The sequence below is a fragment of the Homo sapiens genome, chromosome 1 (genome assembly GCF_000001405.40).
Source record: "Homo sapiens chromosome 1, GRCh38.p14 Primary Assembly".
Classification (NCBI taxonomy): domain Eukaryota; kingdom Metazoa; phylum Chordata; class Mammalia; order Primates; family Hominidae; genus Homo; species Homo sapiens.
Window position 1 is genome coordinate 230,549,531 of NC_000001.11, and position 15,981 is coordinate 230,565,511.

The 15,981-nt window shown below is 41.3% G+C and overlaps 2 long non-coding RNA genes across 2 annotated transcripts in view; both read right to left on the bottom strand.

Annotated features, from left to right (window-relative positions):
• Positions 1-271: 271 nt before the first annotated feature.
• On the bottom strand, positions 272-1,646 carry LOC105373165 (uncharacterized). Its single transcript, XR_949260.1, has 2 exons — positions 1,606-1,646; positions 272-657 (listed from the first exon to the last, which is right to left on the bottom strand). It is a non-coding gene; the product is annotated as an uncharacterized LOC105373165 (long non-coding RNA).
• A 306-nt stretch (positions 1,647-1,952) lies between these two features.
• The window catches only part of LOC107985357 (uncharacterized), a 53,351-nt gene continuing 39,322 nt past the window's right edge, over positions 1,953-15,981 (bottom strand). The window contains exons 2-4 of the long non-coding RNA XR_007066934.1: positions 6,660-6,831; positions 3,967-4,855; positions 1,953-2,735 (exon numbers count right to left, since the gene is read on the bottom strand). This is a non-coding gene — a long non-coding RNA (uncharacterized LOC107985357). The remainder of the gene's footprint in view (positions 2,736-3,966; positions 4,856-6,659; positions 6,832-15,981) is intronic.

Here is a 15,981-nt window from a genome sequence, read left to right on the forward strand (position 1 = left end):
AGAGGACCCTGATGGAGTGCACAGAGCCTGGCGGGGAGATGCTCAGAGCAGGTGCATTCATAGCTGCTGTCGGGATGCCCTGCTCTGAGCAGGGAAAGGGCAGTGGGTACATGAGCTCCACACTTTCCCCACAGGGCTGGTGTGTTCTCATGGGCCTCAGCCAGCAGGTGCCCTTAGCCCTCCAAGTGGCTCATCCAGAACCATGTCTCTGGGCATTTTAAGGCATGGGGGAGGAGTGTTTTCTTGGCAAAGATAAGCAGAATGCAAGAAATAAATAGCTTCTCATGTGCATATAATTATACTGAGGCTCAGTGATTACTCGGGATCCTGACTTGGAATAAAGTCAACAATTCAGCAGTCTCCTAAAGACTTTGTCCAGCCCCACCTCCCTCATGTTTTAGAGCCTGTGATCCTATTACCATCAGGACATCAAATGTTTCACCTTTTTCTCCTTCATGATGTGGAGGAGACTTGCTTTGGAAAGCTGGTCTTCCAATCTGAGATGGCCTCAGCCCAGGAGATGTGCTGGGAGCATAAGGGGAGTTGTGTCCCCCACTTCATGCCAGATCCGCTTCTACTGCTCCCTCGAAGGGTAAATCCAGGAATGGTCTTCCCTGCGGGCAGAGGCGGGGCACAAAGTAACCCAATTCCTTAGCCCTGAAAGAGAAATGCAGTAGATATTGTGCCGCTGGCAGCATTTTCCTGGACATATTTGTATTTTTGTCTTCTGTTTCCACAGAACTCTCATCCTGGACGTTTGGCCACCTGTGAGGAAAAGAGGCATTTGATTTTCTGCAGAGGTCAACTCTTGTAAAAGCCTCTGTTCCTCATCCTTCAACAGAGCAGCCACATGTATCATTCCAGGCCCCACTTAAAATCAGAAAACCTAAGTGGGCACAGGAACAAGCTCAGGCTTTAAACTGCTTGTTGCTGGTGTAATGTGTGAATAGTGCATCTTTGGTGTAGATTCTAAAACAAAACTTGGAGAGCAACCCTGGTGACAGTGGTCACAGGCAGAGTCTGCTGTATCTGTCCCCCAAACTTATGCCTTCCTCCACACTGAGCAGCACCAGCAAAGGGTGCTTGTGAATCAGGATGTTGTTAAACAAGCTGGGAGAAGAGAAACCACAGTGTCTTTGTGTTTGAATGAATCATATTTCATGTGTCATCCTGTTTATTGTTGATGTCTTCCTTGTACCCCTTGCCAACAGGATCCGGGAAAATGGTGCATTCTAATCAGTGGGTCTGGGGTTTCTTTTTTTTTCTCTAGTTTTTTTTTTTTATTATTATACTTTAAGTTCTGGGATACATGTGCAGAACATGCATGTTTGTTACATAGGTATAAATGTGCCATGGTGGTTTGCTGCACCCATCAACCCATCATCTACATTAGGTATTTCTCCTAATGCTGTCCTTCCCCTTGCCCCCAACCCCGCGACAGGCCCAAGTGTGTGATGTTCCCCTCCCTGTGCCCATATGTTCTCATTGTTCAACTTCCACTTATGAGTGAGAAAATGTGGTGTTTGATTTTCTGTTTCTGTGTTAGTTTGCTGAGAATGATGGTTTCCAGCTTCATCCATGTCCCTGCAAAGGACATGAACTCACCCTTTTTATGGCTGCATAGTATTCCATGGTGTATATGTCCCACATTTTCTTTATCCAGTCTATCATTGATGGGAATTTGGGTTGGTTCCACGTCTTTGCTATTGTGAATAGTGCTGCAATCAGGATGAGCATCTTTCAGGAGGATTGCTGAGGGTGAAGATACCTCCAGAGAAATAACAGAGGGACTCACTGGATAAGTCCATACTAAGGTATGATACCAGATCCTTCCAGCAGAATTTGATGGGTCAGATAAAAATAATAGGAGATTATAATACAAAACAAGAAAAAATAGATATATTTCTTATGTATTATATCTATCTATCTATCTATCTATCTATCTATATGAATCTCTGCACTTTGGGAGGCCAAGAGGAGGATTGCTTGAGGCCAGGAGTAGTTCAAGACCACCCTGAGCAACAAGCAAGACCCCATCTCTCTCTCTCTATATATATATAAGGAGAAATAAATATATATTTGGCTTTTACCTCATTTCTGGTACAAAGTATCTAAACCCTTGTAATTTCCTAAGTGACAGAGGTTCTGGGAGCATCAGGAACATCCAAGCAGTGCCAATGGTAGCAATGTCTCTTGGTCCTGAGCAGGGCAATATTGACTTTCACCCAGTCCCCAGACAATAGCAGGGCAGCACATGGTGGCCTCCAAGGAGACACACACCCTTTGCCCTTATCTTGTTGCCCTCTGTGTCTGAGTCCATCCTTCCCTCCAGTCCTTTTTCTGCCACTGCTCCTATTGAAGGAGAACTCTACTACTCTAGCCAAATCTATGCAAAGTTTTCAGTAATTGCACACATCCCACTGTACTGTGGCTTCCTCTTTGTTCACACTCATTCTGGTTGGAATCTCTTTTCTTTCTACCTCTACCTATTTGAATGTTGTTTTCCTTCCAAGACCCAACTCCAGCATCATTTGACTTACTCATCATATTGACTTACATCTCTTCTGTCTTCATTGAGTTCTCAATTTCTACCAAGAGCTTTGCATATATTCATTCTAGTCCTTTCAACAATCCCATAAGATAGAGATTATTATTTCCACTTTATGAATGAGAAAACTGAGTTCAGAGAAGTAAAATAACTTGTCCAAGACCACACATAACTGATAAAGCTGGGACTGAAATACATGAATGAATGAATAGATTAATAAGAGCTTGCATTACCAAGAAGCAAATAAAAACATACTCAACATATTCCTCAGGGAAATGCAAATCAAAACCACAATGAGAAACCACTCACACCCACTAAAATGGCTCGAATAAAAAACACAGACAGTAACAATTGTTGGCGAGGAAGTGGGCAAATTGGAACTGTTATGCATTGCTGGTGGGAGTACAATAGTACAGTCATTTGGAAAACAGTTTGACTATTCCTAAAAAAAGTTAAAGATGGAATTGCCATATAACCCAGCAATTTCACTTCTAGGTGTATATGCAAGGATTGAAACGTGTTCACAGAAAACTTTTACTTGAACGGTCATGGCAGGGTTATTCATAATTGCCAAAAAGTAGAAAAGAGCCAGAAGTCCATCATCAGCTGATGACTAGCTAAACAAAATGGGCCATAGCTACATAATGGAATAATATTCAGCCATAAAAAGGAATGAACTACTGGCACATGCTACACATTGATGAACCCTGGAAACCTTAGTTCAATGAAAGAAGACAGACAAAGACAACTGCATATTGTGTTGTTAGAATTTAAACAACAGAGAGAGAGAGAGAGAGACTCTCTAAAATTAAATGATATTTATTTCAGAGTAAGCATGCAATAAGAATACAGTAGGCATATTTGGGAAGGTAAAGGAAGACAAGGGCTTTAAAAGAAAAAAAAAATGAAGAGGATTACATAAGTTATTTTGAAACAATTATCCTTGGCTACAAGGATCCAAACAAGGGCAGCACATGTCCGAGGTTGGACAGGCAGTAGCTGGACAGATGCCATTGCAGCAGCACTTTTTTTGTGTAAGATTGTGGTGGCCCATTTGCAAGGTTGTGATTTTTGCAGAGTCTTTTGTGATAGTTCTTGTTACCAGATAGACATGTGTGAGATCTTTTCCTTTATGGCTTTCGCTGGCTCTATTTGTCAGGATTTTCACACAGTGACTTATTTTAATTTTCAGAACTTTTACAATTCCCCCTTTTGATTGAGATCTTTCCCTGAAAGCATTGCTGATCAATAATCCTGTAGTTAGGTTTTGGTTATATTTTGGTGCCAGAATGGACCTGACATGGGTTGGTCTGGTCCCACACTGGAGGGAGTGATTGACAACTAGGAGTCGGTGTCAAAACTCTTTCAGCCACATTTGAGCCACAGGGAATTTCTGAAAGAGTGGCTTTCAAGCCTACCTGCAGTCCATTGTTAAGTTGAATTTTGTCTGTTCCATAAACATTGATTATCATCTCAAAGTGCTGGGCTAGCATTCTTTTGTTAGGATTTGTATTGTAGAAATTTGACAAGCAACGGGTACAAAGTTAAAAAAAAAAAGGAAAAGAAAAGAAAATACAAAGTAAAAATAATAGTAATATGATAATCTCAGTTTATATAACAATTATGAGCCACGAGTCTAGGCTTAAAGGCAACCAATTGAGTAAATCAAATGACTATGGTGAGTTAGATGAGACCTGTTGTAATGATGTGGCCTGTTTTATTATTTTGCGTATTTGAGTCTCAATGTTCCCAGAGAAATTTATCCAGGTACAGCATGTAATATTAGCAATAGCACAGACATTTTCTTATTTAACCAATAGATACTACAGAGTATTTCTATCATCTAGTATCTCCTGACTGAGTTGAATTAAAGCAGAATGAGCAATAGATGTATTGAGGATAGTTAAAGTTACTCATTAGGTGGACTAAATATTTTTAGGTCAGATTCTGTCAAGGTACCCCCAGTAGTATCTGTGAAACTTTAATTACATGATTATCCTGCCAAGTGAAAGAGATAGGCATAAATGAGAAAAAACTAAGAGGAGCTAGAGTCTCACTACGATGAGGGCTCTTGTTTTGTCACCTTGGGAAAAGCTGTCCATAGCATGAAGCCAGCAACATTATGTCCTGGATTGCTGCTGGAATGTCTTTGGTTATGGCATCAGGTGGTCTGGAGAACTTGCCATGTAGCCCAACCATCAGAAAGGCAACTTGTCCCTTAAAATTTAATTTCAGTTTATAGGGCTGCAGAAACAGAGAGGCTCCCATTTTTAGCAATTCCATGGAAAAAAAGTTGATTGGAGGAACCTAGAAGAATTCAGGATCTAGCCAGTGTATAGTAGGGAATAAAAACTTGAAAATAATGCACATGACTAACAGGTGTAATACATATGTTTTTGGAAACATAATTTTTTGCTTTATAGTTTTTTTCCCCATTTTTACCAGAGATAACCAGAGTGAGACAAATTTGTTTGTAAAATAAATTTAGTTTCATCGATTTTTGTCTGATCATTTACGTAAGTGCAACAAGGATAGTAATTGACTGCACAGGAATCTCAGATTTTAAAACCTCTTTAAGCTAGGAAGCTTAATCCAAGGCAGACTTCAGATTCCACCTGTAGTACTTATAAACAATTTAACTATGACATCCCAGTCAAAACCTTGGTACTATAACTAATGTTTTCAGTTGTGTCCTGTTATAAACACAGCACATCCTTATTGAATTTATGCAAACAATTATGTTGTCATAAAAAATAAAAATATTCATGAATAGTTTCCAAATTTTGGAGAGATCGAGTAGGGAGAAAAAGTGAATGCTTACACTTTTGTTTATAAAAGTATACTTGATCAAATTACTGTAAACTATAGACAGCTTGAGAGAAAAAGTTTCCTTAAATTTGGAAAGCAAAACATTTAAGCAGAGAACCAATGATGTTCCACATAAAAGTCATAGGAACATTTTCTTTATTACTTATTCAATTTTATGTAATTAGTTTTTGCTCTCTTTGATCTTGATGAGTAGTTTTATGAATGTATCAGTTTTATTAGAGTTCAAAAATATTTATTTAGTCCATTGATATAAAACTTATCAGGAACCTGTATTTAAGAGTACTTGCAGGCCAGGCGCAGTGGCTCATGCCTGTAATCCCAGCACTTTGGGAGGCTGAGGCAGGCAGATCACAAGGTGAAGAATCGAGACCATGCTGGCCAACACGATGAAACCCCATCTCTACTAAAAATACAAAAATTAGCTGGGCGTGGTGGCACTCGCCTGTAATCCCAGCTACTCAGGAGGCTGAGGCAGAAGAATCGCTTAAACCCGGGAGGCGGAGGTTGCAGTAAGCTGAGATCATGCCACTGCACACTCCAGCCTGGTGACAGAGGGAGACTCCATCTCAAAAAAATAAAAATAAAAAACTAACGACTACTTGTTAGTTAGAGTCTTTTCCATGAAAAGCAATTTTGGATTACAACTGATTATAAATGCTTTTAGAGAAAAGTAAAAACAGCAACTGTGGATGACAAAAGCTTAAGTTAGTCATGGCTAAAAATCTAATGTGAGCTCACAATTGATGAGGAAATTAGTTATTTTTATTGCATTCAGGATAACCAGAATCGTGACTGACAGTATCACATCAGAACCATCACACCTTTGTAAATTTCATGCAGTCTTTGGAATAGTTGCATCAGCTTTTCATTGGCTATTCTGCACTCACTATTCTGAATGCTTTGCTACCAGAAGATTTTCAGAAGTGAACAGAGAGAAAAAAATGTAAAAAAGCCAAATTACTTACAGACATGCATAACCAAATCAAAATGAAATCAAAATAACAGTGCTCACAAAACTTTTAAGCCAGGCACACAGATCAAAGAAAATGTTAAACCAGGTCAGCAGAAAAAAAAAAAGTAAATTTACAAGAAAAGACATGACTCACAGACAGAATGCAAATTTTATAGAAACCAAAATACTCAAACTAGAAAGACACTCGTCTTTATACCAGAAAGGGCTTGCCAGAAAAGACTTCTATAGTCCCAAGAGAAATGTAAGATTTTTAAATTTAAGGTAGCCTTATAACCAAAATAGATCCCAAATAAAGCCAAAAGAACTCACCAAAAAGGAGTCCAGGAATCTGAGAGGAGATTCAGCAGGGTAGAAAAGGTCAGCCACGGAGGTGGAGAGCTCAAAAGGGCTCAGCACAGGCAATTCACTCAATTTCAGGGGTTGTCCATCTGTCCAACTAACCAGCTTCAATTCTACTTCTGACACCAAATTATGTCAAAACCTAAATAACAGACAGAGAGAGACACTCTGAAAAATAAAAGATATTTGTTTGAGAATAAGCATTGCAATGGGAATATAGCAGATATATTTGGGGAGATAAAAGAAGACACAGGTTTTTAAAGGAAAAATGCAGAGGATCATATAATTTACTTTGAAATAATTATTTTAGGCTACAAGGATCAATAACAAGGGTGGTGCCAGTTCAAGGTTGGACAGGCGGTTGCTGGGAAGATGTCCTTGAAGAAATGCTTTTTATGTGTAAAGCTGTGGTGGCCTTTGTGCAAGGCTGTGGTTTTCGCAGAGTCTTTCGTGATAGTTTTTATCATCACGTATGTGTGTGAGAACCTGCTCTTCCTGGACATCCCCCTGGCTCTAATTCCGAGGCTTTTGACAAAAGTGACTCCATTTTGATTCTGACAACCTTCACAATATGATTCCATTTATATGAAATGCCCAGAGTAAGTACCCTTCTATATAGAGACAGTAGACTTATGGTTGCCAGGGGCTGGGGAGAGGAACAAACGCGGAGTGAGTTGGATTGGGTATGGGATTTCTCTTGGGGGTGAAGAAAATGTTCTGAAATTAGATAGCAATGATGGTTGTACAACTTCGTAAATATACTAAAAACCACTAAACTGGTCACTTTAAAATGATTTATTTTATGGTATATGAATTATATCTCAGTGAAAAATAGAGTCTATGCTACTTGGATTCACTGAATTATTCATCAAGCATTTATTAAACAACTATTATGTATCTAGAATAGTTTTGCCAAAACCAAGTACCTAGCAGGCACTCTAAAATATTTGTTGGTTCATTGATTGGGTGACCATGCTTAGCCCTGGGTATAAAGGGATGATTGAGATGCAATTTATTATGAAGCCAGACCAACAAAAAAGAGTACATATCATATTATTCCTATATTATTCCATTTATACCAAATTCTATAAAATGAAAACAACTATAGTGACACAAAGCAGATCAGCAGTTGTCTGGGGATGGGAGGGAGGTCAGGGTGGGTCATAAGAGAGAGATTACAAAGAGGCGCAGGAAACTTTTAGGAATATAGATATGTTCATTTATCTTGATTGTGATGGCTCCATGGGTATATATGTGTGTGTGTGTGTGTGTGTGTGTGTCTGTGTGTGTTTTTATGTCAAAACTTATCAAAATGTACATTTAAAATACAGTTATTCTTCAATAGCATGAGGGTTGGTGCTAGGACCTCCTGTGGATACTAAAATCTGCAGATGCTTGAACCTCCGAAATAAAATGGCATAGTATTTGCACATAACCTATGCACATCCTTTGGTATACTTTAAATCATCTCTAGATTACTTATAACACTGAATGCAATGCTAACACTATGTAAATAATTGTTATACTGTATTGTTTTTAAATTTGTGTTTTTTTATTTATTTATTTTAAAATATTTTTGATCCCTGGTTGGTTGACTCCAGGGATGCGAAGCCGAGATACCAAGGGCCAACCGTACATGCAGTTCATTGTATGTCAATTGTACCTCAACAAAGCTGTAAAAAAAAAATGTGACTTCTCCAAGAGTTTAAAATATGGTGCAAGTGACAGCTGTGCACTGTCCCCCTGCAACTCCCAAATTCCTACCAGATCTTGAATTGCCTCTACTCTAATGTCCTAAATGTCATCATCTCCCCCTGTGTTAGTTTGCAAGGACTACCATAACACGGTACCACACACTGGGTGGCTTAAAGAACAGAAATGTATTTTCTCTAGGTTCTGGGGACTGGAAGTCCAAGATCAAGGTGTCAGCAGGCTTGGTTTCTCTTGAGGTCTCTAGCCTTGGCTTGCAGATGGCCGTCTTCCCATATCCTCACATGGTCTTCCCTCTGAGTGCGTCTGTGTCTTCACCTCTTCTTCTTGTAAGGACACCAGTTGTGTTGGGTTAGGATCCACCCATACTATCTCATTTTAACTTAACTACCTCTTTAAAGACCCTGTCTCCAAATACAGTCATTTGCTGAGGTCTGGAGGTTAGGATTTCAACATGTAAATTTCGGAGGACCTTCTCACACTCTAATCTTCATGTCCTTGCAACTCTTTCACAAGCCTTCTTTCTAGAAAGCCTGTCCTTTGGCCTTAACGAACTTTGTTTCCCTCCCTACACACCCTGTTTCAGGGTGGGTAAATGCTTCAGCCACTCCTCTTGGGTAAATGGGCTCTCCACGCCTGTTGTCCCTCCACCTTGCCTGTCACCTCCATCACTCAACTCCAGGCAGCACTCCCCACGGTTCCTGTGAATTCAGCTGGGGAAAATGGAACCACTCTGTAAGTTACAGCTTAACAAACCTTTCGTGTATGACTCTCATGCACAATGGTGAAACTTCCCCAAATAACCCCCATGCTGTCCCAGCCTCTACTGCTCACCTGTCCACCTCCACTTCAGTGGCTGACCTCCTTTATGGAGGACAAAGGTCATCAGGCTGGAAACCCCTAGATGTCCACCCTCCTTCAGTCTACAATGGGTCAGAAGACACCATTAGTTCATGACTTTCTTCCTCATGTTCTGATAGTTCTGAACATCTACTGTCAGCCCAGGATAGTCTTCACCAAAGTAGCCTTTTCAATCCTACCAACTACTCTGCAAAAGAAGTGTGGCTATCTCCACTTCACAGATTAGAAAACAAGTGAGGGCCAGTCACAGAATGTGTCCGAGGTTACATGGCTAATAACCAGTGGAGATAGGATGAGGACACTGCCATTTCTTCCACCATTCATTCATTCATTCATTCATTGTGGAATGGCTTCGTTGAATAAACCAGGCATTTTGAAGAAGCTGGTGGCCAAAAATAAATAAAACACAGTCCCCTCTCACTTAGGTCTAGTTGGGGACAGCCACACATCAGATAATGGTACTACTGTGTAGTCAGGACCACTAATGAGAAATAGAATCCTTTGGTAGGGACACACAGTGCATTAAGACACTGAACTCGGTGCCAGTTTTAACTATTTGCCTCTGAGCACTTGGAGGGTAATGACCATTTATTTTTCTATTTTTTAGTCACTAGAATTGAGTATGGTGTTAGGCATTCAATCAATGTTTATTGAATATTTGTTGGAGCAAGTGAATAACCTTGAGCTCACCTCTCTGCCTTACTGTCTTACACTCATTTTCATTCCCCCAGCATATGAGGGAGAAAATGAAGGATTATTCATTTTCTAATTAAGGTTTGTACAGGTGTCCCAAGATGTAACACAACATTGACTTCCCAATAAAGAAAATACAAAAATAAAAACTTAAAAGTGTTTAAAATTTTACAAAGAAAGGCCTCCAGTTTTGCTTCACAGTTGACAGAGGAATACTGGAATGAATTCACTGTAAAGTAAGTCTCTTGTTACCACAGGTGGGTGCTTATATACAGGTTGATTCCTGTGATTGCGTCAGAGCAACGAACATGCCCATGAAGTCACTTCTAATAGGTCCTCTGTATCCTTCCTGCTTTGGGGACTGTGACAAAGAGGGATAAAACTATTGTTTCAGAACTACTGCTTCAGCTGGGTGTGGTGGCAAGCACCTGTAATCCCAGCTACTTGGGAGGTTGAGGTGGGAGGATCACTTGAGCCCTGAAATTCAAGGCCAGCCAGGGCAGCATAGAAAGACCTTGTCTCTCAAAACAAACAAACAAAAACAGGAAAAAAAATGACTGCTTCATGCAACAATATGGCTCAATCTTGAAGCAAGTTAAGCAATAGAGGCTAGACACAGGATTACCTAGTGTATTATGATTCCCTTTCTATGAAGCTCAAGAATAGAGAAAACTTGTCTATGGTGATAGAAGTCAGGGAAGGGCATAGAAGCATTGACTGGGAGGGACATGAAGAAGCTTTCTGAGAAGACAGAAGTGTTCTGTGTCTTGATCTGGCTGGTGGTACAGAGATGTTACACCTAGGAGTAAAATCCATCCAGTTGTACATTTTATAGCACATAAATTATGCAAATAACAATATTATATATCATATATTGTATACACTTATGCAAATAATAGTAATAATATGCAGGACTAGGAGCTGGACATTGTGAGACACACACACACATGCTATATTCTTGGGCCAAATATATTAGAAACTTTGCATGCTATGGCTCCCTGGCATATTTGCAATCTATATGAGTATATTAAAGACTCTGTAAAGCCCTGAAATAAGGAAGCCTGCTCAACCCAGTATATCCCAAAGGCTTTTGAGCCTGAATTCTCTTTTCAGTGTACCTACCCCCTTCTGCAGAGCATGAGTTGGAGAAGTGCTGGCGTAGGGAATTCTTCACTTCACAGTTGCAGAGATCCCCATAGCCTTTCGTCCTTTACAACTTAAAGCCCTGAATAGGAACATGCCTTTGAGGAGACTTGCATCCTCATCACACAACAAGCAACCAAATCTGGACCATAACACGTGCTGGGGCTGTGGATATACACATATTTGCAAGTGGTGAACAAAGTCTCTAAAACAAAACTCTACAAGAAGTAGGTCACCATAAATACTAAGAGTGATTTCATGAAGTGCTCTGGAATTGTGAACTCTTCCGGAGTCTGCGCAGGGCACCTAGAGTGAAGCCTTTTGTTCTGCTAATGTTGAATGAGGAAGATCTTGTTATTTTAGAATTTACAATTGGTGTACTGAACAGGGTGTAACTCAGGGCCTCCTAGGCTCATGCTTTCTAGAAAGAGTGCGATGTGACAGTCCAAGTCTTTAATGACTGGTAGGCATGGGCAGTAACTAAACAGAGGGACAGTGACCAGCTCACCATACCAGTGTGCAGAACGTCACCTCTGCATAGTGCTAACCCGCAGCCCTACTGACAGGCTGAAAATGTGAAACAATTTTAGGTACCAAAAAGTCTTAACACAGAGACTCCTACAACTGAAGTAGTTTGTGTGATTGACATTGTATCCCTAGAAGACTGTGCCTAAAAGAGAAGACACAATAAATGGCAAACTCATAGGCACTTTTTTATTTGTAACTGAAAATTATCTCACTGCCAGGTGAGACAACAATAACATGCATGACAGGAATGTTTGGTGAATTGGGGAGTGGGGAAGAAGAACTAGTGAAAATTTCTTTTTATTCTGTTTCAAACCCATTTGGTCTGTTAAAATTTATTTAAAACATTCACAGGGAAAATAATTGTCCTCTTTGCTCAGTTGCCTTTAAGAAGTTGCAAGTGGAAGCAGGTTGGTAAAATGCTGAGGCCTGTAATTAATAAAGAAAACTTTCTCAATGCTAAAATAAGCATTATTTGGTGGTGGAGGGGGGTGTTGTTGGAGGGTATGCTGCGAGCGGAGGGGAGACAGTGAGTAGCCTAGTTTCACAGCAACTGCAAAGGTGGGGGATAAAACATCTTGCAAACACCATCTGCGAGCTGTGTACAGCAAGTGCTGGAATGAACCTTCAGAGCAACCCACAGATTTCTGTATGCATCGTTGCAGAGCCAGCCCAGTCTCATAGTGACTACAAAGTGGGGAATAACATATCTGATCATGGCTGATTTGATTTCTCCTTCTCTTCCCCAATGCAGCCCAATCCAGGTGAGGTGACAGGCATGGATGTAGGTCATCCAGGTAGAGGGGATCTGGCAACAGTAACATGGAAGCTGGGCATGGCCTTTCAGAAGCAGTGGGGAACCAAGTTTCAAGGGAAAAGCAAACCAGAATTTTGCAAAGGATGATAATTATCAAAGGCACATTTTCTCTTTTTGTGATAGTTGTTCCTCTCAAATATCTTGCACTGGCCATAAGTCAGCATTCATATTTGTGCAGTAAAGGGTTAGTGCAGCAGATTTAGGTTGTCCCAACCCTGCAGATTCCAAAGAAACTGGCTCTTGACTGCAGCCTGGGAGACAAATTCCAAGCCCTGGAATATCCTGCCTGATGCCAGTATCTTTGAACACCTGAGGCCTTGGCCCATGCTGGACAGTATAGGTTAACAATCCAATTTTTGGTGGGGGCCTTGGGCTATGCTGTATCAGTGTGACCTCTGGAGAGACTGGAGACTGAATAACTGAGATCAGCCACATGAGCATTCCATGCCTATATGGCCAGTTGTCAATAAAATCCCTGAACACCAAGGCTTGAGGGAGCCTCCCTGATTGGCGATGCTTCCTATAGGTTGTGCCACATCATTGCTGGGAGAAGTAAGTGCTGTTGTGCAGCTCCAGTGGGAGAGGACACCTGGAAGCTTATGCCTGGTCTCTCCGGGACTTCACCCCTGTGCCTTTTCCCTTTGCTGATTTTAATATGTATTCTTCCACTGTAATAAACTGTAACCATGAGTATAACCTGAGTTTTGGGAGTCCTTCCAGTGAATCATTGGGAAACTTTCTGTCTGAGGGTGGTCTTTCTATATAACTTGATGATGGTCCTGGGGCCTTCTGGCCACAATGCTGTTCTAGCCCCAACCCAGACTGTCTCCTCCAGAAAGCCCTCAGCTATGAATGCATTGCCCTAAGCACCAGCTGATGGTTAAAGCCCAGACTGTGATTTTACTTCTTGGCTCCCATCTTTCCCTAAAGCTGGACCCTCTCTTCCATGTTCCCAGGGGTCACCTGGCCAGTCATATATATCCTGATCCCCCACCCCTGATCCAGCTCTCACCTTGCCTACTGCCTCAACTCCAGGTCACTGACATGGTTAAGACCAGTCTAGCATCCTGCCTCTGAAACATATTGTCCCAGGGAAGGAACAGACCAAACCCCAAAAAAGGTATTTTCCAGCTCAGTGTTATCCCTACCTTGGCCTCTACCTGCCAAAAGGCAAGGTACATTGTCCTCTGTTCCCAGAGGAAACACAGGGAGTTGCTGGATCATTCTAGGAAGCAGACGAATGTCTTATCTGCTCTCACACCATGCTGAACACTTCCTCAGCTACATCCAGCTGCCTCTGTCTCTTCCCAAACTCCTCGCTCAAATCTCACTCATCTTTCAGGTCTCAGTTCATGTGTTATTTCTTTGGGGACACCTTTCCTATGTCATAGTCTAGGCTGGGGCCTTTGGACTATGCTTTATAAAAACGTGGTCTTTTTTCCAAGCAGTTGAGCTGCGTTTGTGATTATTTGGATCAATGTCTGTCCCCCTGGAGCCTGCAGGTTCAATGTACGCTACATCTGTTTTTGCTCACCATTGTATCCCACACCTAGCACAGTGCCTGGTTGGGTGCTCAAAGATATTTCTTAAATTAAGTATGAAATGTACAAAACACATCAGAATCATTTTGTATTTTGTAAAATCATTACAATGTCCCCTTCCATACATGTATGCTCAATCTTTGCCATCTTTTGCCCTTGTAATTTGGTCATCTGTTCACAACCTTAAAAAGAATTAGAGAAGCGATTAGTTGCCAAGGTAACCCTCATAATTGGGAAAAAGGCAGCTCAGAGGGACACAGATGTGAAGGCCTGGGTGGATCAGTCATGCTCCTTCTGTCTTCCTCTTCCTGACAGTGAAAGGGAACAAAGAACTAACGGCACAAAGCAGCATGAACAACCGCGACGGAGAACAAGCTTCTCTTTGCAAAAATGGATGGAGAAAATTCTGACGTGCTAAAACACAGATGAGGCTTGAAGACATTACGCTAAGTGAAATATACCAGACACAAAAGGACAAACATAATTCCACTTATTTGAGGGACCTAGAGAAGTCAAATGCATAGAGATGAAAAATAGAATGGTTGTTGCTAAGGGCTGAGTGAGGGAGAAATGGAGAGTGAGTGTTTAATGGGTACAATTCCAGTTTGGGAAGATGAAAAAGATCAGGAGATGAATGGTGGTGAGGGTCACACAACAATGCGAATGCCACAGAACTTAATGCCGCTGAACTACATATATACTTAAAAATGGTTAAAATGGAAATTTTTATGTTATGTTGATATGGTTTGGCTGTGCCCCCACCCAAATCTCATCTTGAATTGTAGTTCCCATAATCCCCACGTGTTGTGGGAGGTGATTAGATCATGGGGGCCGTTCCCCCATGCTGTTCTTAGGATAGTTAGTGAGTTCTCTTGGGGTCTGTGGTTGTACAAGGGGCTTTTTCCCCCTTCACTCTGCATTTCTCTCCCCTGCTGCCCTATGAGTAGGTGTCTTCTGCTATGATTGTAAGTTTCCTGAGGCCACCCCAGCTGTGCAGAACTGTGAGTCAATTAAACCTCTTTCCTTTATAAATTACCCAGTCTCCGGTATTTCTTCAGAGCAGTGTGAGAGCAGACTAATACATATGTATATTTACCACATAAAACAAAATTTTAAAAAGCAAATGGAGAGATCATTCTAGTTAATCAGGAATTCAAGGGAAGCAAATTGATGTTTTCCCTTTTAAACACTATAATTGAAGAATGTGAAACTTTATAAAGGCACCATATGGCATATGGGAAATGGGGTACATGGAAAACGGGGCACCAGAGCCACAGTTAGGGAGTCTCCTTGTGACAAGGGGGAGGACACCTTGGCCAGATTCTGCTGCAGCTGGAGACCGAATATGTTTCTATTTATTTAATCTTGTCTCATGAGAGTGTGAAGAAAAATTCTCTTCTTCTTTGGGAGTTTACATGTCAGTTTTATGTATGCCTACAGGTCTTATAGTGGAAAAGCATCATCAACAATTTGAAAAGTGGCTTTCCAGATGGCGAGAGTAGGGGGCTGAATCTCTGCTAGGCTGTTGAGTACCTGCCATGCACCAGCAGGCACCTGGCTCTCCGTTAATCCTCACTCTAGAAGTGCCCCCACAGCATGTCTCAGGAAGAAACCGAGATTAGGAGAGACAAAAAAAACCATCTGGAGGTTATATGACTTCTAAGAGGCAGAGAAGAAAGAGAAATGTGTCCCGTGTCATGGAGGGTGGCTCCATCAGAAACAGAGGTGGTGTACCCTAGCATATCTTTCCTCTTGGGCAGCAGAAGCCTGGCATTACAGCTGTTCCAGACTTAATGTGAGTTACCACCATGTCAACTCCAATTCCTCCCACTGGAATGGAGACCAGCCACAGGCACTCCCTCTGTATAGGATGCTGGGCATTCCCTTGGTTGGTAATGTGGGATCTGTGTGACTTTGAAGATTTCCTGTGAGAGGGACTCAAATGCCAAGATGTCAAGCAGCATATCCCCAGAAAGCAGGAACTCACTGGGAGAAGCTGGGA